The 21,717-nt window shown below is 42.9% G+C and overlaps 2 protein-coding genes across 13 annotated transcripts in view, besides 2 other annotated features; one reads left to right on the top strand and one right to left on the bottom strand.

Moving 5' to 3' along the window:
• The window catches only part of ADIPOR2 (adiponectin receptor 2), a 97,605-nt gene extending 82,617 nt beyond the window's left edge, over positions 1–14,988 (top strand). For 7 of the 10 annotated variants that reach the window (XM_011521024.2, NM_001375364.1, NM_001375365.1 and 4 more), the window contains 5 exons: positions 4,168–4,339; positions 6,765–6,951; positions 7,203–7,390; positions 10,194–10,387; positions 12,258–14,988. In XM_011521024.2, the coding sequence (XP_011519326.1) occupies positions 4,168–4,339; positions 6,765–6,951; positions 7,203–7,390; positions 10,194–10,387; positions 12,258–12,386 (870 nt within the window). In that variant the 3' untranslated portion in view covers positions 12,387–14,988. Of the gene's footprint in view, positions 1–4,167; positions 4,340–6,764; positions 6,952–7,202; positions 7,391–9,325; positions 9,425–10,193; positions 10,388–12,257 lie in introns of those variants that run through there. The other 3 variants (XM_047429547.1, XM_047429548.1, NM_001375363.1) reach the window with 2 other exon arrangements.
• Positions 2,372–2,890: an enhancer, noted in NCBI's record as "NANOG-H3K27ac hESC enhancer chr12:1885224-1885742 (GRCh37/hg19 assembly coordinates)". NCBI's record gives its function as "activates a minimal SCP1, AML or CMV promoter by ChIP-STARR-seq in primed H9 embryonic stem cells {active_cell/tissue: H9 hESC(primed)}" and the evidence as "EXISTENCE:reporter gene assay evidence [ECO:0000049][PMID:30033119]".
• Positions 2,891–3,408: an enhancer, noted in NCBI's record as "NANOG-H3K27ac hESC enhancer chr12:1885743-1886260 (GRCh37/hg19 assembly coordinates)". NCBI's record gives its function as "activates a minimal SCP1, AML or CMV promoter by ChIP-STARR-seq in naive H9 embryonic stem cells {active_cell/tissue: H9 hESC(naive)}" and the evidence as "EXISTENCE:reporter gene assay evidence [ECO:0000049][PMID:30033119]".
• CACNA2D4 (calcium voltage-gated channel auxiliary subunit alpha2delta 4) overlaps positions 18,277–21,717 on the bottom strand; it is a 126,690-nt gene continuing 123,249 nt past the window's right edge. For 2 of the 3 annotated variants that reach the window (XM_047429897.1, XM_011521041.3), the window contains exon 36: positions 21,423–21,695. In XM_047429897.1, coding sequence (XP_047285853.1) covers positions 21,457–21,695 — 239 coding nt within the window. In that variant the 3' untranslated portion in view covers positions 21,423–21,456. Of the gene's footprint in view, positions 20,074–21,422; positions 21,696–21,717 lie in introns of those variants that run through there. The other variant, NM_172364.5, reaches the window with a different exon arrangement.

Genomic DNA, 21,717 nt, shown 5'->3' on the forward strand with positions numbered 1-21,717 from the left:
ATGTAAATTGATTTATTAAACATTTCTGGAGAACTCTTTATTATTTAGAGAGAAATTTTTGTGACACTTAGCTTTTCATGGCTTTTATGAAACCAAAACTTTTTATGTACATGGTCTTAGATCCAGGAGACTAAATATAGGTTTTCTTACATTCACAATAATGCTGGAAATAATTGGGATCAGTGGACTTAGAATGCTATTACTTTGGACCAGGGTATGAAAAGAGAACATTGTGATCTGAACATAGACATCCTTTCCAAGACTAAGGGTCCAGTGGGTTTTCAGGGGGAGTTTAAACATTTATGGGTCTGTAATAGAAAATTTTAGCCAGTTTGAAAATGAGTGAAGAAACAACTGAACAGAACAATAGATTCATTCTAGTGATCACTGTCTCAGGAGAATTAGCACAAAGGGATACAAAAGATTATTTTGTTTTTAAAATGCAAATTTGGTGTGAAGAAATCTCTCAAAGTTGGCAAATTTAGTATCTGGGCCATTAGGGGATTTTAATATTTAGAGATCAGCGGGGTACGGTAGCTGACTTAACTGCCTTTTTGTCCTCTCCCTTTCTGAACAGAGAACAAAGAATAAAACAAATAAAACTCTAAATTTAACAGCAAATCAGAGAATAAATAGGGCAGGACATTTGTTTGCTACAAACTATGATCTTCTGAAGGAAAAGGAGTGTTGTAAATATCCCTTAGCAGTTTGTTGATGACAGCAGAATGAAGAGGCATCCTGTTACACAGTGTTGTCTGGTGTGGCTCAACCCTGCCATGGCAGTGCAACTGACCACACTTGAAAACCAGCCGTGTCTAGTGGCACAGGGATTCTATTTCTTGGACTGGAAGCAAGTAAACAGAGACAGTTTAATATGAAATGTGCTGTGGATAATTTAGTCTTTAGAGTTTCCACGTTTGATCTTGGTCACTCTTTTTTCCCCTAGACTTCAGTGTTTGCTATTTACCAGCATAACCAGGTCCATGTGGGAATAGGATGTATGCTATGGGGAGTTTATTTGTTTTTGAAATTTATTTATTGTTGAGTCTCGCTCTGTCGCTAGGCTGGAGTGCAGTGGCACGATCTTGGCTCACTGCAACCTCCAACTCCCGGGTTCAAGTGATTCTCCTGCCTCAGCCTCCCAAGTAGCTGGGATTACAGGCATGTGCCACCATGCCCGGCTAATTTTTGTATTTTTAGTAGAGATGGGGTTTCACCATGTTGGCCAGGATGGTCTCCATCTCCTGACCTCGTGATCTGCCCGCCTCGGCCTCCCATAGTGCTGGGATTACAGGCATGTGCCACCATGCCCGGCTAATTTTTGTATTTTTAGTAGAGATGGGGTTTCACCATGTTGGCCAGGATGGTCTCCATCTCCTGACCTCGTGATCTGCCCGCCTCGGCCTCCCATAGTGCTGGGATTACAGGCGTGAGCCACTGCGTCCAGCTGTTTTTTTAAGAAATGTTTTTGTGCATTTTATGGTCTAATATATCCACATACCCAGTGGATTATTACTAAGATATTTGAAGGTAGGCAGTGTCTTTGTCAAGCTTATAAATAAATATGTCTTTGGCTAAGCCGTGATCTTATTTTTTTATTCTAGGGGGTAAAAGAGGATACCTATTTGTGTTGGAATTTGGCTGACTGTATATGACTCCAGGTTGAGAATGAGGGTGCAGTGTCTGTTGAATGTGTCACTAATTGCAGTGTAATTAAGAAAGTATAGCTCCTTGTCTCAGTATTTAGACCACTAGAACATTTGTTTAGAAATACCAGGGAAAATCACTCTGAAATTATATGCATATATAACCAATAAGAAACTCACATATTCTTTTTGAATGTAAAAAAGGAACATATGACTCTTTTGTCTGTGTGGGGTAGCAGAGTAGCAGTTTGGATACAGCAGAGCTGTGTGCACATTGTGAATTGCCTTGAAGATGTAAGGGTTGATTTCTGTCTTCCTCTCCCTCTCAGAAAATAAAATTCCCCCAAAGTAAGGTAATAGCAACATTCTGTAAGGTTAATCTCAACAATAGTGGTCTTTTCCCAAATTCAAATTTGATGCAAAAAATTCAGTATCTTGGTCTCTCTCTGACACTAAAAGAAGCAGACTGCAGAGGTTGACAGACTTCCAGCAGTTCCAACAGAAGGGATACTGGATCCCTGATCCCCTTTCTCTTTCTCTCCATAAAGTCCTGTGGAAGATCTCATACAGCTACTTTTGTAAGTGGTAGTACTATTAGCAGCAGATGTTAAAAATATAGATTAGTCTTTTGGCATTATTTTATTTTATTGTATGTTAGAAGCAAGCATAGAATGGCCACATTAGCACCAGTAACCACAGACCCCACGTTTTGAGTTGGAAAGTGAGGGAGGAGAGGTTTTGTATGGCTGGGGGCAGGAAGAGTAGGGAAGAGGCAGGGGGCTAGTTTGGTTAGAGTGTTAAGAGGGACACATCTGTTCTTAAATTGTTAGTCCTCACTTCCTTTGGATGTGGAGATGTTACACAGAGGATTAGTTCTTTTACAAATATCTGTAAGGAAGTAAGAGAGCAGAGAACAAGAAACAGGTTGTGGAGCAAAAGGAATGGGCACAGTAGCTGGTGAGTAAGTGGCAGTCTTTCCATAGAGTAGAGAGAGAGCCAAGTTTCCATGGCTTACCCATATTGTCACAAGACCCTGTAGTGGGTAGGGTGGAGGTCATTGTCTGAAGGTGAATCTTGCTGATTTGCAGCCTGGATTCTTGCTTTATAGGGTAATAGACTGGAAGAACTGCTGAGCCCACATTAGCTGGAAGATAAACCATGTGCCTGCCATTTTTCCTTACATCTTTCTGTCTAGCAGAAGCAAGTTAGTCAAGATTAAGTGATCCTTGTGGTGTGAGCTCTCGGGGCTATGAGACATTAAAAGAAGCAGAGTGCAGAGGTTGACAGACTTCCTACAGAGGGGATATCGGATTCCTGATCCCTTTTCCTCTAGAATCTGATGCGGGAGGGACCATGAGGAAACGGGAGGAAAGGGCTCTGAGGGACTGAAAGGGTGGTTAGGGCTGAGCTTCTTTACCATCTCTCTGCAGCATGAGAAGGAAGATGGATTAGTCACTAACTGTCTGACAGGAGATAGCCCCTGGGGATAGTCATGTACTGGCTTTGAGTAGATGCCAGGGATTACTAACTAATTCATGAAATGCTTTGTGTCATTTTGTTTGATCTTCATGATTTCCCTATGAAGTAACTGAAGCGCTATTTTACAAATGAAGGAGCTGCAGGTTGGAGGTTTTTTAATTAATTAAATCTCATATAGCTAGTTAATGCCAGGGGTCCACAATTTTCTGACTCCTGTGCTCTTTCTTTTCTGCCTCATCATATTTGCATAGTGGGAAGAGAAGAAAGAGTAAGATGGAGGGAGAGATTTTAGCAAAAGGCACAAAAGTATGATTCTATGTAATTCTGTTTTTACCAATAGGAATATTAAATATAAAAATGTTCATATTAACACCACAGGGATTTATCAGAGGTAAAGTCTGTTATATAGGTAGGATGAAGGAGGTCAGTATGAGTGAGACTTTGGAACCTTCATCCCACCATTAGCCAGGTTGAAACAAAGTTTGAAACCACTCTTTTAGGGCATTTCCTATAAATTTGTTTACTCTTTCCTTTTCCTAAGGCCCCCACTTAAAAGTATATTTTTTCTTTCTTTTTTTTTTTTTTTTTTTTTGAGGCAGAGTTTTGCTCTTGTTGCCCAGGCTGGAGTGCAATGGCGTCATCTCAGCTCACCACAACCTCCGCCTCCCGGGTTCAAGCAATTCTCCTGCCTCAGCCTCCCGAGTAGGTGGGATTACAGGCATGTGCCACCACACCCGGCTAATTTTTTGTATTTTTAGTAGAGATGGGGTTCGAGCTCCTGACCTCAGGTGATCCACCCACCTTGGCCTCCCAGAGTGCTGGGATTAAAGCCTTAGCCACCATGCCCGGCAAAAATATATTTTTCATCAGTCTTTAAAGAACTCAGAATATAAGACATTATACATTTTGAGATGTTTGCCTTTTTAAAAATGAATTGTTTTTCCCATTATAAAACAGTGTGATAAGACACAGTTGTTAGGGGTCAGTGTTGGTAAATTGACAACTAAAATCACAAAGATGTTTGATAATACCTCTCTGCCAGGTATGGGAAGGTCGGTGGCGAGTGATCCCTCATGATGTACTACCAGACTGGCTCAAGGATAATGACTTCCTCTTGCATGGACACCGGCCTCCTATGCCTTCTTTCCGGGCCTGTTTTAAGAGCATTTTCAGAATACACACAGAAACAGGCAACATTTGGACACATCTCTTAGGTATGTAATGTCAGTGATGTAATGAGCTGGTGATTCACTTTCTTCCTTTTTATTTTCATGTATTTGAGGGTAAGCACAGAACTTCAGAAATGTATTTGGATTTGCCATTTTGTTTTCTGAATTTCTAATGATGAATTTTCTGACTGGTTTACTCGTAGTTTATCCTGGTTTGCACTATGATTTTGTTATAACTTAAGTTATATTTCTTTCTACTAGATTTTCAGATCTTGTCCTCAAACCAGGCCAAGTAAAAGTTGCTATACAAAATGTGGTTTCATATTGTAGTGACCACTGAGAAGAAAGTATTATTTAATAGAAGTAATCTGATCTTTTAAAATGCATTACTTATATGCACTGCTAATTTTCAGTTTGGCCTGAAGTAGAATATGGACTGTAATTTTTTCTCCATAATGATTGTATATTAAAGAAAGAATACTGTAGAGGAAAGAATAGTCTTTCCAACAAATGGTGCTGGGATAACTGAGCCATATGTAAAAGAATGATCCCGAACTCACATATGCAAAAGTGAACCCAAAATGGATCAAAGACCCAAACATAAGAGCAAAAACTATAAAATCCTTAGGAGAAAACATATATAAATCCTTGTAAGTTTGGATTAGGTGACTGTTTCTGAGAATTGCCACCAAAGAAAAAATAGATAAATTGGACTTCATCAAAATTAAAAACGTTGGTATATCAAAGTGCATTATCAAGAAAGTGAAAAGACAACCCATAGAGAAGAGAATATTTACAAATCAGCTAGTTGGTAAGGATCTAATAAATAACTCCTACAACTCAACAATAAAGACAACCGATTTTAAAAATGGGTAAAACATCTGAATAGATGTTCTTCCAGAGAAGATCTAAAATGGCCAATAAGCACATGAAAAGATGTTTGTCTTCGTTAGGCATTTAGGAAAACGCAAATCAAATGCTTTGAGAAATGCAGTGAGAAATCTCAACACTTCACACCCACTAAGATGGCTATAATCAAGAAAATGAAAAATAACAAGTCTTGGCAAGGATGTGGGGAAATTGGAACTTTCATACGTTGCCAGTAGGAATGTGAAATGGGGCAGTCCCCATGGAAAAGTCTGGCAGTTCCTCAAAAAGTTACATAGAGTTACCAGAAATCAACTCCTAGTATATTACCCAAGATGACTGAAAACATGTTCACATAAAAACATGAACACAGAAGTTTGCAGCAACATTATTCATAATAGCTAAAAAGTAGAAGCAACCCAGATGTCTATCGACTGGTAATGGAGAAACAAAATATGGTGTATTCATACACTGGAGTATTATTTAGCTGCAAAAAGGGATGAAGCACTGATACATGCCACAGCATGGGTGAGCCTTGAAAACATTTGCTAAGTGAAAGAAGCCAGACACAGAAGGTCACATGTCGTTTGATTCTACATGCATGAAATGTCCAGAACAGGAAAATCCATAAAGACAGTAGATTAGTGGTTGTTTAGGGCTGTAAGGAGTGGGGAATGGGGGATGACAGCAGATACAGTACTTCTGTTTGGGGTGATGAAAATATTTTGGAATTAGTTAGTGGTGATGGTTGTACAACCTTGTGAATATACTAGTTTCTGGCCTTACTCCATTTGATTTGCATTTCTTATCACACATTTGATTTCCATGGTGCCTCTAAGTTCCTGCCTGCTAGTATAGTGAGAGGAGAGTAGAGGGTCAAATCAAGTTTGTTGCTGACTTCTAATTCAAGGGTAATTTTTAATTAAAATGATAAAACAATTACTTAGCAAACGTTGAAGTTGAAATTTCTGTGCCTGCCTTGTGTTAGGTGGCCCCTCCCTAAGCAATAGGAACATGGCATCTTTCTGTGTAGAACAGTGTAAGAATTGGTTAGGAAATGGCCTGAGTAGGCATTTTGTCCTTAACTCTTGAATCTCCTGAACCAGCTGATGAGGGCCAGAGAAACAGCATGACACTCCCTGACAGCTATTGGTAGAGGAAAGCTGTATTTCTTGGCAGGGTTTAGGGGTATTGGAATTCATTGTAAAAACAAAAGCAAAAGCACAATGGACCTTTGAAAGCTGGACTATGAGGTATGTGCCAAAAACTGTATAAATGAAACTATTCTACATCTAGAGGTAGAAGTGGCTTCATTATATCTTCTAAGAAGTAGCAGCAGTGTCTGATTTCTTTTTAGATTATGCCCTTAGATAAGTTTTTATATTCTGTATATTCAGTTTATGAAGCTGAAGTATTTCTGATACCAACAATGTTGGAAGTAAACCACAATTTTGGATAGGCTTCAGTTATTTGGAAGATTTTTCTCATTGAACTTTTGATTCAGATATTGTTGTAATGCAGAAGGATTGAAAACAGAATCAGTTATAATACTGTCTCTTCTAAAGGGTGATATTTTATCTATTTTCTGTGCTCTTTTTCCTAGGTTGTGTATTCTTCCTGTGCCTGGGGATCTTTTATATGTTTCGCCCAAATATCTCCTTTGTGGCCCCTCTGCAAGAGAAGGTGGTCTTTGGATTATTTTTCTTAGGAGCCATTCTCTGCCTTTCTTTTTCATGGCTCTTCCACACAGTCTACTGCCACTCAGAGGGGGTCTCTCGGCTCTTCTCTAAGTAAGTATCTGTAAAGTCCGTATTTTGGCCAATGATTTAGAGGTAGTGCGTTAGGGAAAAACATTCAGCAGAGTTGGCAGAATTCTTAATATCATCTCATGCAAACTTTTTTTTTTTTAAAAATTAAAGAGCAACCCAGTTTGGCTCTTAGGTGTCGTTGATGGCTTATGTCATGAGGGATTAATTGGAACCTGTAGTGGCCAGTAGTTTTTAAATTACTGCATTAAATGGATTTTTTTTTTCTGTCATAGACTGGATTACTCTGGTATTGCTCTTCTGATTATGGGAAGTTTTGTTCCTTGGCTTTATTATTCTTTCTACTGTAATCCACAACCTTGCTTCATCTACTTGATTGTCATCTGTGTGCTGGGCATTGCAGCCATTATAGTCTCCCAGTGGGACATGTTTGCCACCCCTCAGTATCGGGGAGTAAGAGCAGGTAAGAGCACGGGGAGGTTCTACATTCGACATTCATTTATTCACTAGTTAAATTCACTATTTATTAAAGTTCTACCATTTGCCAAACATTATGCTGTGTATTTGTGATGCCAAGATGAAGAAATCATAGTTCCTATTGTTGGGGGTTTTTTTATGTAGTAGTCGTAGTAGTTGTTGTTGTTAGTAGTGTTTATTAATTGTCTTAAAGCATTAGGGTTGAGGGGTCATGGTGAGTATGAGGTGATATAATTTGGGACTGTTACTTACTTGAATTTATGGCTAAACACCATCCAGAAAGCGGTAGTCTATAACTTTTGTAAACAATGATTTCTCTTACTCATTGTGGAGTGTACTTTTTGTAGTGATTCTTTTTTTGTTGTCATTTTCTGTTTTGTTTTATATTTTTATTTTATAATGGATAATCTGCTTAAGGCTTCACCCCCATGCTGATTATGTTTTGTTAAAGTGGGCACCATATCTCCCTTCTGATGTAGGGATAAAGGGGCTTTTTATATTTAGGATAATGCCTGTTTAGCTGGAGATCATAGAGAAAGCCACAAGCCCCTCAGTGCCTTGGCTGAGTCTTCTTGTAGGACATGGAATTAGCAGAGATGTTCTTGTCTCCTACTCAGTGTCAAGCTCAGTGCCCACTGAGAATGAACAAGGAGTGTTTTTCCTTTCGTCCTTAAACCCCCAAAACCATTTAGTATTAAAATCTAAACCCTGGATCATCCGGGGGTACCTGGAAGGTTAGACACAGAAGTAACCTCATGTCAGTGACCACTGTTAAAACACTCTGCCGTCCTCCTTTTTGTGTTCATATGAGCAAATGAGCATTGGTCAGGGTCAGCTTTCAACAGTACTTGAGTAGTACAGTGGTGTTAAGCCTGCTTGAGCACATGAGATAAGAATGTCTTTGCTGAGTACAGCTGAGCATTCTGTTATTTACATACATCAGAAGAACCAAATTCCTGAGCCTTTGACTTAGAGAATGATAGGCAGAAACCATTAGCAGCCTTTGCTTAGCATGTAGAGGAAAAGAAAAAGTGAATAGTGCAAAAGTCTAGCAAATCTTTCCTTAGAGGAGCAGAGGTAGGAAATAGTTTTTCTTTAGGTCTGCTTGGTTCTTACCTGTTGTGAGAGCAGCATTGCCATTTTCCTCTTCTCTTTTAGATGTCCATTTTATTTGTGAGTATGCATCCCATAGCTGTGCTTACATATATTGCTGTATACCAGCAGTTTATTTGGTAATGTCCAAAGCAAGTAATAGGTTCTTTATCTGTTGAGAAAGCTTACCAAATGACAGCTTGTTTTGCAAGGGTCATTGTTAACTCTGTGTCAAAATGTAGGAGCAGTTACTGGCAGAGGCAGGGAGCTCCTGTGTTGCTTTGGCTGATACACGGGTTTCAAAGTGGATTTAGATCAGTGGACTTCACATTTTTTTTTCCATCATGACATTTTCTATTACAGTCCTGAACACGTGTATCTATACATAAGTTCATGTATATATAAATTACAAAACTTTAACAAAATAGTATTTAATCCTCCACGTATGTTACAGTCTGATATTTTAAATTTTATTCTAGTTCATTTAAAAAAATGCTGGTTGAGACTCATTTAATTGATCTTAGAACTTAGGTCATATCCAGAAGTTTAAAAAAACATTAGATGCTTCTGGAGGCAGTAAGGCAGTAGGGCTGTGGCTGAGTGATTTGCTAGACTTTTGTACTTGATTGCTATTTAGGGGTCTGGGAGCTTATAGTATTCTCTCCCATCCCCCACCCCCATTAGGTCATTTGTTAAAGGCATTTAACAATTTTTAAGTGCCCAGTTATAGGTTATAGATTTAGATTAAATTTTTTCTTCTTTTTTCTTTTCTTTTCTTTTTCTTTCTTTCTTTCTTTTTTTTTTTTTTTTTTTTTTTTTTGAGATGGAGTCTTGCTTTGTAGCCCAGGCTGGAGTGCAGTGGTGCCATCTTGGCTCCTGACCTCAAGTGATCTGCCTGCCTCGGCCTCCCAAAGTGCTGGGATTACAGGTGTGAGCTGAGCCACTGCGCCCAGCCTTAGATTCCTATTAAAAATAGGTGATGCCAGGTGATGTGATCATTCATCGCCTCTCCACCCCAACAACGCCTGCTGCTTCAAAGAGAAGATGGGATACGTAAAATTGCTTGTATTGTAACCTGTGTCTGTAGAAGGACAGGCTAGGACAGTTTAAATAAACTCCTGGAGCTGTCCTTTCCGAAAACATTTAGCAACATTAATTCAAAACCCTTGAAGACTGCTGACTTACTAAGCTAAGCCTCTCTTAGTGAGGCTCATTGCTTTTTTTTTTTTTTTTTGAGACGGAGTTTCACTCCTGTTGCCCAAGCTGGGGTGCAATGGCGTGATCTCGGCTCACTGCAGCCTCTGCCCCCGGCTTCAGGTGATTCTCCTGCCTCAGCCTCCCGAGTAGCTGGGATTACAGGAGTGCGCTACCACGCCTGGCTACTTTTTGGATGTTTAGTAGAAATGGGGTTTCACCCTGTTAGCCAGGCTGGTCCCAAAGTGCTGGGATTACAGGTGTGAGCCACTGCACCCGGCTGGCTCCTTGCATTTGTAAATCTTTAGAACATAGCTGTGTTGTCTTGTGTGACAGTGTCCCAGAGTTTGAAGAACCTTCTTTTTCCTTTAAAACTGGAAGCTAATTTTATATGCTACTTTGAAATATTCAGTTTACAGAGTTAATGGTGCTGTGCTGTAATACTGACTTCTGGCTCTTTGTTTCTCTTCTGCATTACTTTACTCTCTTCTTGTGACTCCTAGGAGTGTTTTTGGGCCTAGGCCTGAGTGGAATCATTCCTACCTTGCACTATGTCATCTCGGAGGGGTTCCTTAAGGCCGCCACCATAGGGCAGATAGGCTGGTTGATGCTGATGGCCAGCCTCTACATCACAGGAGCTGCCCTGTATGCTGCCCGGATCCCCGAACGCTTTTTCCCTGGCAAATGTGACATCTGGGTAAGTATGTCGGGGTGACTGAGTGTGTAGGTATCTGCTCATGAGTTATTGGCATCCTGCAGAGTGATGCAATAGAAAAAGTTTTAGACACAAAGTCAGGAGAGTTGTATCCTGGTCCTAACTCCCTATTGAGCTTTCTCTGGACAATAAGTACAATAATAACTAACATTTAGTGAGCACTTCCTTGGTGCTCAGCATGGTACAGAGTGCTTTGCACGGATTACCTCATTACATACATTAGCCCTATGTGGTATGATAACTCTTGTTAATGTCTTCATTTTACAAAGCAGGAGACTAAGGCTTAGGGAGGTGAGGCCACTTGTCCAAGCCATGTGGCTATTTAAGTGGTAGAACAGGAATTTGAATTAGGCTAGTTTTAATATCAGAATCTGTGCTCTTTTTGACAATGGCAAGTCATTTTGCCATTCTTTGTCTCAGTTTCCTTATTTATGAAATGAGGATGATAGACCAGATTTTCACCAGAGCCCTTTTTAGGACCAGATTTCTATCAGGGTCTTTTTTTATACCGAAATTTAGTGATTTGTAATGGGAGACTGAGTGTATGTATGTCTGGTGGAAGAAGAGGGATTGTGAAGAAGAGGGAACTGGATTGAACTGGATTGTGGTCATTGGTAAGAGAGGAGGAAAGAGAAGAGGGAAAAGAAAATATAAGGACTGATATAGATAGAAAAACTTATAACCAAAGAGGGCCTGAAATATTTTCAACAAGACAACATTGGAAATACGCTTAATGTGAAATCTGACCTTTGTAATTCTGTTCCTCAGCCTATTGCTGATTATTATAGACTAACCTGATGATCTCATCTCTTTAAAGTTTAGTTTAGCTATCTGTAAAATGAAGATGATCTTGAACTTAAGCAATCTTTCTAGCTTCAAATTAGCTAATTTATCTTTCTGATTCATCATCATCATTTTAACATTGGTATGGAGGGGTTTTTGCCCTTTATCCCCTTTCTTTGGGGGAAATTAATCCCCTTTGGTTTCCTAGGAAACATCTCTTGGGATGTGACTTGATTTCTTCTAGTTTTTGCTTCTAAAATCAGTGTTTTTCTCTTGATAAATACTGCTTTGCCACTGTACTTTTTCATTTTGAGATTATAATGACAGAATAGTGTAATTTTTGAAGTGCAGCGAGCAATTGATTACCCTTCTTGAGATGTGGAATAGCATTCAACAGAACAGGTAAAATCAGAAATAATGTCACTTGCTTGTAGACCAGCTTCTGACTTGAGAAGTAAAAGGGCCTGTTTGCTTAGTTTTTGACACATTATGTAGTTCATGAAATTTGAGAATCGTAGCACTGAAGGAAACTCTGGGGACCATATGTTGTGACATTCCACACACCATCCTGGAAGCCTCTTTAGTTTTTCTAACAGAGAGCAACATTTAAATGACCATAGCTCTAGTCCTCTTGTCCATGACAAAATGTCCATCAGCAGTGAGTAGGAAAAGGACTGTATGTGTAATCATAGCCCATGGCTAGGTGTCAAGGGATCCTTGGGACCTTTGTGGCCTGTTAGCAAGAGAGTCTGTGTGTCATTTGCCACTTTAGCAAGAGAGTCTGTGTGTCATTTGCCACTGGTTTCAGTGTTAAGTTTGTAGATTTTTATGTGTAGAGCTTAGTGGCAGCACCTTGGTTTCTTTGGGAACAGCTGGCTTTCAGCTCAGCAGAATGTGTTACACCTAATGGATGTTCCAGGATCTGTGGACGCCTTGAATTTGAGCTCTGTCACATCCATTCCCTGCCTTCTGCTCAGCATAAACCAGGATTAAACGATCCTAAGAATCTTTAGCAGTCTTAATAATGTATGGGTTTCTCTACCCCCTTCTCTTCTTTTTTCCCCTCCAGTTTCACTCTCATCAGCTGTTTCATATCTTTGTGGTTGCTGGAGCTTTTGTTCACTTCCATGGTGTCTCAAACCTCCAGGAGTTTCGTTTCATGATCGGCGGGGGCTGCAGTGAAGAGGATGCACTGTGATACCTACCAGTCTCCAGGGACTATGACCCTAAACCAGGGCCTGCGGCACTTGCGGGCCTCCCTGCTGGCTACTGATGCCAGTACCAGAGGAGCCCCAAAACTTTGACAGCCTCGTGGGCTTTGTGACGGCCCAGTGGCTCTGCGTGGTACATGACTGAGAAGAGAAAAACAAAAATAAATCATACCTCAAAGGATGGAGTGCATCAATTGGGAGAAAAGGAGACATAGCCCAAACCCTGGCTTATTCTTGGGATCTACTGATTGCGGGCTCTGCAAGACCCTTGGCAAACTGGCTTCTGATCCATATCATATTTATTTGTAGAAGATGGCGAAACAGTTTAGCTGGTGGTTCTTTCTTCTCCCTTTCTCTCTCTCTATGACAATAATACAAACCAATTTAAGTGAACATTTATATCCGATAAGGGGTGGGAGTGTGATTTTAAATGCTCTTTTGGGAGAACAAAGAAATTAATGTAAATAAGATTTCTAACTGTTTAAATAAGACTTTATATAAATGTTTAAAACATAGGGGTAAGGGAGGGAGGGAGAATTTTTGTATAGAATGAAACATGCAAGTACCACACACTGTTTGAATTTTGCACAAAAAGTGACTGTAGGATCAGGTGATAGCCCCGGAATGTACAGTGTCTTGGTGCACCAAGATGCCTTCTAAAGGCTGACATACCTTGGACCCTAATGGGGCAGAGAGTATAGCCCTAGCCCAGTGGTGACATGACCACTCCCTTTGGGAGGCCTGAGGTAGAGGGGAGTGGTATGTGTTTTCTCAGTGGAAGCAGCACATGAGTGGGTGACAGGATGTTAGATAAAGGCTCTAGTTAGGGTGTCATTGTCATTTGAGAGACTGACACACTCCTAGCAGCTGGTAAAGGGGTGCTGGAGGCCATGGAGGAGCTCTAGAAACATTAGCATGGGCTGATCTGATTACTTCCTGGCATCCCGCTCACTTTTATGGGAAGTCTTATTAGAGGGATGGGACAGTTTTCCATATCCTTGCTGTGGAGCTCTGGAACACTCTCTAAATTTCCCTCTATTAAAAATCACTGCCCTAACTACACTTCCTCCTTGAGGGAATAGAAATGGACCTTTCTCTGACATAGTTCTTGGCATGGGAGCCAGCCACAAATGAGATTCTGACGTGTCCAGGTTTCTCCTGAGCTCATCTACATAGATTGGTAGACCCTTCCTTTGGATTAGGAAAGATGAGTTTTACCTCTGGTACACTGTCTTGGTAAGCCTGGATGTGACAGACACCTCGGCTCTCCTTGAATAAGAAAGCCAGCAGAACTCTTAAAGCCAGTTGTAGTACGGAGTTGTCAGCACTCACTGAACCTCACTTTACAGGGATAAGAGTGGTGTGGCATTTTAAATACAATGGTATGTTATTGCCAGGGAGTGAGGTACAAGACGATGGCTCATGTCACAGGCCTACCTGATACGGTGTCAGAGAAAGTGGTGGGGAAAGGATCTGGTTCATGGAATTCTGATCTTGGCCCATAGGTGAACCACCAAAATAGTGCTCGAGTCTTAGGTTACTGTCATCAAAGACTTGGGATGACTCCATTATATCCTGGGGTTGTGGGTATTAGAACTAAATATGGAGGTCCTGAGCATGGGGACTGGCGTCCTCAGTAGGTGTTTGGGAATATGGGAAGGGTCTCCTATTTATTCAATAGAGTTTTCTCAGTTATTTTCCTCCCTTGCCCTTGCAATCTCCAGCAAAAGGTGGGATCTAGGAAGAAAGAATCCAGTGTAGAAGTTGAGAAGAACTTGAACGTTTTGGTTCTGGATAAGGTCACTGTCCTAGGTGCTAGGTGGACCGAGCAAAAGACTCAGTGGATGAACTGGTGCAGTGCCTGACAGAATAAAGAACAGTATTAATCCCTTTGAGAAAGCATAGTCCAGCAGGACAGTGGCCATTTGGACAGAAGCCCACTTAGTTTCTTGGGAGCAACAGCACGTATCAGAAGCCAGACTTGCTCTTCGGTCATGCACTTTGGGATACAGCGTATAGGTGCAGCCCTGTCACAACACCAACAGAAGTAGCAGCCTCTGGGTGCAGTCACCCACACCCCAAAGCTGGAAGGATCTGGTTCAACATAGCACAAACCCTTAGGAAAAATGAAATTAACATCACTGATGTGTAATCCAGTAAAATCTCCCTTTTTCGGGTGTGTATGTGGGCATGTGCCCATTTCTATGTGTGTGTCTACGTGCAGCTCACTACCAACAGCCTCATGTGCACTTGACCTGACAGTGCTCGCTGAGAACTCTCACCAGGTTGGCGCCTGAATGCCTTACTCTCAGCAGTCAGAGGCTTGCTTGCTCTGTGCAGATTTTTAATTTTCTTTTTTGGCCCTAGGCTGGTTGGGACCTCTACAGCTTCATTCTTTCACCATTAAATAGTGGCCTTTTTCAGTATTTTCCCTCTTCCCCTTTATAAATTATGCTAAAGCCACAAAGCACATTTTTGGGGATCATAGAAGGTTGGGGTTCCAGAAAGGCATCTGTGTGATGGTTCCATTGATGTGGGATTTCCCTACTTGCTGTATTCTCAGTTTCTAATAAAAAGAACCAAATGAAATATGACCTGTCGTGTGTTTTTTTATTGCCGTTCAGCTTACCTCCCCTTGGCTTTTGGCACTTCTCTGAAGCTCTAATTTAGACACTGTGATTTAAGAAATTTTTGGAAACTTCCCCTTCGGGATGCAGAAATCAAAGTGCTTATGCCCAACTCCTGTTTCCTAACTCAAGCTTTCCTCGTAAGTTGCACCAGGTTTAGAATGGAGGGGAGAGCAGCTCTAAGGGGCAGTTCTTATTTATTATTGAAGTTTATAAAAATAGTCTCTAATGCCAAGGGCAATAGGCTCTACCATAAAGCCTGGGTGTGTAGTAGGCTGTACCATCTAGGTTTGTGTAAGTGCATTCTATGATGTTTGCGTGACAACGAAATCAACTAATTATGAAATCACTTAATGATACATTTCTCAGAATGTATCTCTTTTGTTAAGTGAAACATTACAAAATTTATTTTTTTGGGCACGGTGGCTCACTCCTGTAATCCCAGCACTTTGGGAGGCCAAGGCGGGCGGATCACGAGGCCATCTCCTACAGGCAGTGCACATTGACTAAGTTCATTCCTTGCTTTTGCTGTTGTTTGCTATTATAAATAGGATTTTGTCTTCAATTATATCTTCTAAAAGTTCTTTTGATTGGTGAAAGCTACTGATTGCTGAATATTGGTTTTTTACCCCGACCATTTGCTGTTTTCTCCTCCTAATCATAATTTTTTCTTAGTTGGTTTCCAGTAATAAAGTCATGTTGTCTGAGAAAAAAAAAAATAGTCTCTAATGTAACACTTGATGCCAAGGGATGTGTTAGAGAACTGTCGATGTCATATGATCATAATCACAACCCTCTGAGCCATTCAGGAGTATTTTCACTCTCATTTTATAGATGGGGAAACTGAAGCTTAGGAAGTTTAAGAATGACTCTAGTGCCAGCACTGTATTGGAGAAAAGAGTGAAGAGAAAATTTAAGAAAACCTTTCTGTATTTGTTATTCTGATTAAACAGTGTCATATACATTGACTTAAAGGTTTTGGGGTTCATTAACCTAGTCCCTTCTATATAAGAAGAGGATCTGGTTCGAGTTGGTGTTTGAAATAAAAAAAAAAAAAACGGAATTCCAACCCTTTTGCCTTAGGTAAATTTAGTTTTTGGAAGGGCATTTCCAGTATCAGGATAATATGTTCATTCTGAATTCTCATTTTTAAGTATAGATTTAACTTTAGAGTGTCCCATACCTTACCTGGGCATAGACATTGGATCATTCCCTGCTTTTGACAAACAGTATTAGCTGAAGCCTACTAATAACCCACTTGTCTTTTCCTCGTCTCTTCCCAAAAGGCATCTGAGCCGGGCATGGTGGCTGACGCCTGTAATGCCAGCACTTTGGAAGGCCGAGGTGGGCGGATCACAAGGTCAGGAGTTCGAGACCACCTTGGCCAAAATGGTGAAACCCCGTCTCTACTATAAATACAAAAAATTAGCTGGGTGTGGTGGAGGCACCTGTAATCCAGCTACTTGGGAGGCTGAGGCAGGAGACTCGCTTGAACCTGGGAGGTGGAGGTTGCAGTGAGCTGAGACCATACCACTGCACTCCAGCCTGGGTGACAGAGCGAGACTCCATCTCCCAAAAAAAAAAAAAGTGTCTGTATGGTTCCTGATACCCAGGTGATGTTATGTGGTTGTAGAGGAAGTAGATAAGGACAAGTTTGGATTCTGACTGTACAGCGTGCTAGGCTCTGGGTGCCTAGAGAACCCTCTGGGCAATGTTACTTTAAAATCATCCCAGAAACAACATCTTCTTGAATATTTGGCTTCAATTGTAGTGTTTCATTTTGTCTTCCCCTCAGAGGGCATGAACCATTTGCTAGCCAGCACTGCTCCCTACCCACCACCAACACCCTATCTAATGTACAAATCTTTTCTGCCTTCAGCTGTTTGACTTGGTGAAACAAGGGCAGCCTGTCTCACTCATGTAGAGGCTGCTTATGATGGCATGGGGCAGGAAGGAAGCGTCACGTGCGATGGCCTCTTGTCACCGCCATCCTACTGTCCCACCGTCCCTACCCTGCTACACTACCTGGAAATGAAAAGGGTAGCTTCAGATCTCAGTTGTGCCATTTGCCATGTAGCATGGGCAAGTGGCCGTTTGCTTGTCTAGCCTCGGTGTTCTGTTAAAATGAGGCCAACGATACATCCTCTAGAGCCCACGCTGAGATGCTGTGGTTTCTATAGATAATTTCCTCAAACTTCCCATAGTGATTGGCTGGGTTTTCTGCCAAACCCTCGCTCCAATTCCGTCCTTTTGTGGACTTCATTTACTTTTCTGGCCTTATGATATGCCCACTTTCTTGCCTCCCCGCCGCCCCCGAACCACAACTTCACTGAGCTTAATGAAGTGGTTGAAGCATTTTCCCTGAAAGCTCTTCTATTAAAATACACAACATTATTATGTGGATTTAGTAGTTCACATATCCTTGGTACTGAGGAAGGAAGATCTGACAGCATCCTTAAGTTCCTGGTCCTCCAAAGGTGGTGTACAACATAAGATTTCAAAATTCTGCATTCTAATTTATCAAATGACTTAGGTTCCAAGTTCATGCGTCCGAGAGCAGGTGATGGGCTTTAGAGTGAGCCAGGCTGCCACCTGCTGTCCTTTAGTGGTTCTGCTAAAAGTAGAAGAGGAATCGTTCTGACCTTCAAAGGCAAAGCTTATGAGAATATTTTGTTCTCCAAGGTAGAGAAGGTTAGTTTATCAGAAATGGTTTTTCCTTCCAATGGTCTTGAAAGGGATTCCCCTCGGCCATGCAGAGATATGGGGCCCAGAGGAAGCAGACAAAACCAGGCCAGAAGCTGCTCCAGCTTCCTAAGCTTGGCTTTTTAAGAGTTGATAAATTTGCCTGAAAGTGCTCTACCTGTTTGGGTGGGGATGATAACCCTTCCAAAAGATAACACTGGGTTATGGTCCTACAGAGACTGCTGTTTGGTGTCTGTGAGTTGGTAGTTGGGGTCAAATGCAGTTGGAGGTCAGAATGTGCCTTAATGCCAAAGAATGAACGGCAGGTGGGCGGCCACGGCCTTGGCAGGAAGTGGCAGGGCGAGAGTTAGTGCTCACCCTGCTGTGTGCCGCACAGGTGGTGCCTCGTGACACATGGTTGGGACACTCAGTGATGGCAGCCCAGGGGCTAGAAAGGGCTCCTTGCTGCTTTCTTAACCCTGCTGGGCCTGTTGAACACCTTATTGTTCCTGGCATCTAAATTGTAATTTCTTTGTCCCCACCTCCATGAAACAAGGTAATGTAATGATCGCAGTTAGCATGTATTTATTTAGCGTTTAGTATATGCCAGGCAGTTTCAAGCATGTTACGTGAATACATCACATTCAATCTTCATACACTCTTCCGGTAATTTGGAGGCAATTTTCAACTCTGCTGCAGTTTCTATAACATGGGACTAATGATAGTACCCACTTTCAGGGGGCTGTTGTGAGGATGGAATGAGCTGAAACATGTTATTTGGTACATGTAAACCTTAGCTGTTCTAGCATTATTCTGCCACTTAAGCTGTCTTCGAGCTGCAGTGTCTTCTGCTGTAAGGGGGCATTAATACTGCCCTCACAGGGTTGTTGCAAGACATGACGGTAAGAGTGACATTCTGTAACCGATAATGTAAGTGTGTTTTACAGAGTTGGCATTTGGCCTACTCTAGAGGCAAGTTAGGGCTATTTGCTGGTAGGAAACTTGAACAGCTTTGAACTTGAACTTTGAAGTGTGGAGGCTGAGGGTGATGGAGGAGCGGGGGGAAGCGCCCCAAAAGCCCTGCATGCTGTCCATACCCATCACTGGGGTTTGTTAAATGGAAAGATTTGAGGCCGGCCTCTCCCACATTTCTCCATGGCTTTGCCCTTAATGTTGCTCTCACTGTGGAGACTGTTGTCTCCTGGGATCCAGGTCTTGGGGTTTGGTCGGGGGAGGAAGCTGCGGGGCCTTGGGACCCTGGGGGAGATGTGTGTGCGCTGGGGGTGAGTTCCCAGATAGAGCTTCCCTCCCAGTGGACCCTGCTTAGCAAGTTGGAATGTTCCCACAAGTTCCAACCCTAAGGATTTCACTCCAGGGACAGAGTCAAGTAGATTCTTTTGTAAATCATTGGCCAGAAAAGAGCACAACCACTGCTCTTTTTCACTATTTTACAGCTATTTTTGCCGTCCCCTGAATGTACATCAATTTCCATGCAGCAATTGGATGTCTCAGCCTATTGGCTTTTCATAGATGCAAACTTTCCTTTAGGGCTTTGTAAAGAAGTTTTGGGAAGTTCTTCAATAGCAGCAGTTTGGGGACATCACGTGTAGCCCTGTCGATATTTCCTGAATGGATTTCATTCCTTTCTCAGTCTTGACCATTCCCTTACCCAACCCCCACCCCAACACAGTCAAAACCTTTTCGAGCAGCAGCTAGGAAGGTGAGTGGCCTCCCACCATGAGCCTCACTTTGGGGAATCTATGCTTTAGTTGGGGCATATTCTTGCCTTAGCCTCATCTCTGCATTTGGCCTCATTCTGCTGCTGCTTCTCAGTACCCAGAAGTCCTTGGGTTCTACCAGAGACCACTCCGACAGAAAGGGTCAGAAACAACTGACCCTTTCTTGGCTGGGTCTGGACTCTGGAGTACAGGAAGAACTAAATTATTTTGTCTTGGTCCAAGCTGAGCTCACGCTGGCTTCCCGAAGAGGAGACAGGAAGGTTAGGTCAGAAGTATGCTCATGTTGAGACCTAGGGCAGATGGTACCGGGCACCATGAAGCATCTTGAAAGTGGTGCCAGGTGATTGGTTTCCTGTTCCATCCAGCATTCTCCGGAGCCAGGGGCCACCAGCCCAGGATTGAGAGGAGCGTTGGCCTGGGGGCGACCCAACTGCAGTTAGCTGCATCCCATGTCAGTGCTGACTTTTTGGGATGGCTCTGGAAGGATCACCTTGCCAAAACACAGGTCAGGCTGGGTGGTGTCACCGCAGGAGTTGGGGCAGTAGCCCCCAGGCACACACAGGCAGCAGGAGTAGGGGCGGCGAGGCTGAGGTGTCCGAGGCGCCGCCGCAGTCCTGGGCATTCTCCTGCGAACGCAGAGCAGAGGTGACAGCGCGGCGCTCAGAGGAGGACCCTCAAAAAGGGAGGGGCTTCCACCACTAATTTGGGCCAAAATCCTGGGGAAAGGGGAGTTTTGGAAAGCCGGGGAAGCACTGCTACCTCTCTTAGGCCCCTACCTTTTGGGGGAAAAGCAAAGGCTGGCCCCTCAGCCTGGGAGGGGGGCACCGGCCTTCTCTGCTTGCCCTCAGGCTTGGAGTGGCTGCGAGGTCATCCTCTCAGAATGTCCTCAACTCTGGGAGCATCTCTGATGGGGGTTTCTGGTCCCAGCAGACCAGACTGTATGAAGCACCCGGCTCAGGGCCTGACACCTGGGTCTGGGTTCTGGATCCGTACCAGCCACTATGACTATTATCCACGTGACGGCCCCCTCACATTGCTCGATCATTCGGAACTAAGTGTAGCGGGAATGAGGACAAGATGGGAAAACTGCATTCTAATTCACCTAGGGCCCAAGCCCTAGGAAGCGTGGCTCTTCGTTAAAGCACCTTGGGATCCTGGTTGACTTCGTATTTTAATGACACAGGGGCTCTGCTGTGCTTTCACACCAGCACTTCAACAAATGTGAAGGGTTTTTCCCACCCCACTCTCTGGACACCAACTGGGTGTCTGTCCTGAAACTCAATTCAAGTCTGACACTATTGAGAGTTAGCATTAGAGCTCGCAAGTTACAGGGCTCGGTCCCACAAGGTGGCCGTCACTTCAGATGCCAATCGCAAGCCCCAGGTCTCCTGTCCTTCTGACAGACTGGCTGTAAATCTAGGGTTCCCATGAGCCTGTCTCAGGCTCCGTGAGTTGTTAGCGTGGCTCACTCAACTCAGGAAGGTGCTTCCCTCACCATGACCCGTTTATTATAAAGGACGCAGGTCAGGCGGCTGAGTGGAAGAGACACGTAGGCCAAGGCACGGGGTACGCAGAGCTCCCACACCCTTTCACCAATTCGGACACTCTCCAAACACAGTGGCTCGGGGATTTTATGGAGGCCTCATTATGATCATTGATTAAATCTTTGGCCACTGGTGATCAACTCAGTCTCCAGCCCCCTTCCTTTCCCAGAAGCCAGGGGCTTGGAGCCAAAAGTCCCAACCCTCTAATCCTAACTTGGTGTTTCCTGTGGCCAGCTCTCATCCTGTCTAGGGCCCCCAGCCACCAGTCATCTAATTAGCATACAAAGATACCTCTATCATTCCAAGGGTCTTAGAGGCACCTGTGAAGGAACCAGGGACTAAGACCAAACACTATAACAAAAGATGCACCTATCACCCTAATCAGGAAATAACAAGCGTTTTAGGAGCTTGCCAGGAATCAGGACAAAGACTAAATAAAGATCTGTTTCTTATTATATCACAGTGTCACAGGGCATAAACGCGAATGTTTCCCCCGAGAAGCACAGGCACAGGTGTGTTCATTGGCATCCCTATATGCTCCTGTCTGCAGGGGCACAGACCCAGGCACAGAGGGTTTGGGGATGAAAATCCAGCCCACCCTCGATCCGCCTCAACCCGCACCTCTGGATGGAAGGCGTGGCAGGAGTCTGGTCGCCGGCGGAGCTTCTGGGAGCGCATCCGGTCACATTTGACAGAGGCATTATGTGCAGAAGCCACTGTTAAGGT

This window comes from Homo sapiens, chromosome 12 (genome assembly GCF_000001405.40).
Source record: "Homo sapiens chromosome 12, GRCh38.p14 Primary Assembly".
NCBI classification, from domain to species: domain Eukaryota; kingdom Metazoa; phylum Chordata; class Mammalia; order Primates; family Hominidae; genus Homo; species Homo sapiens.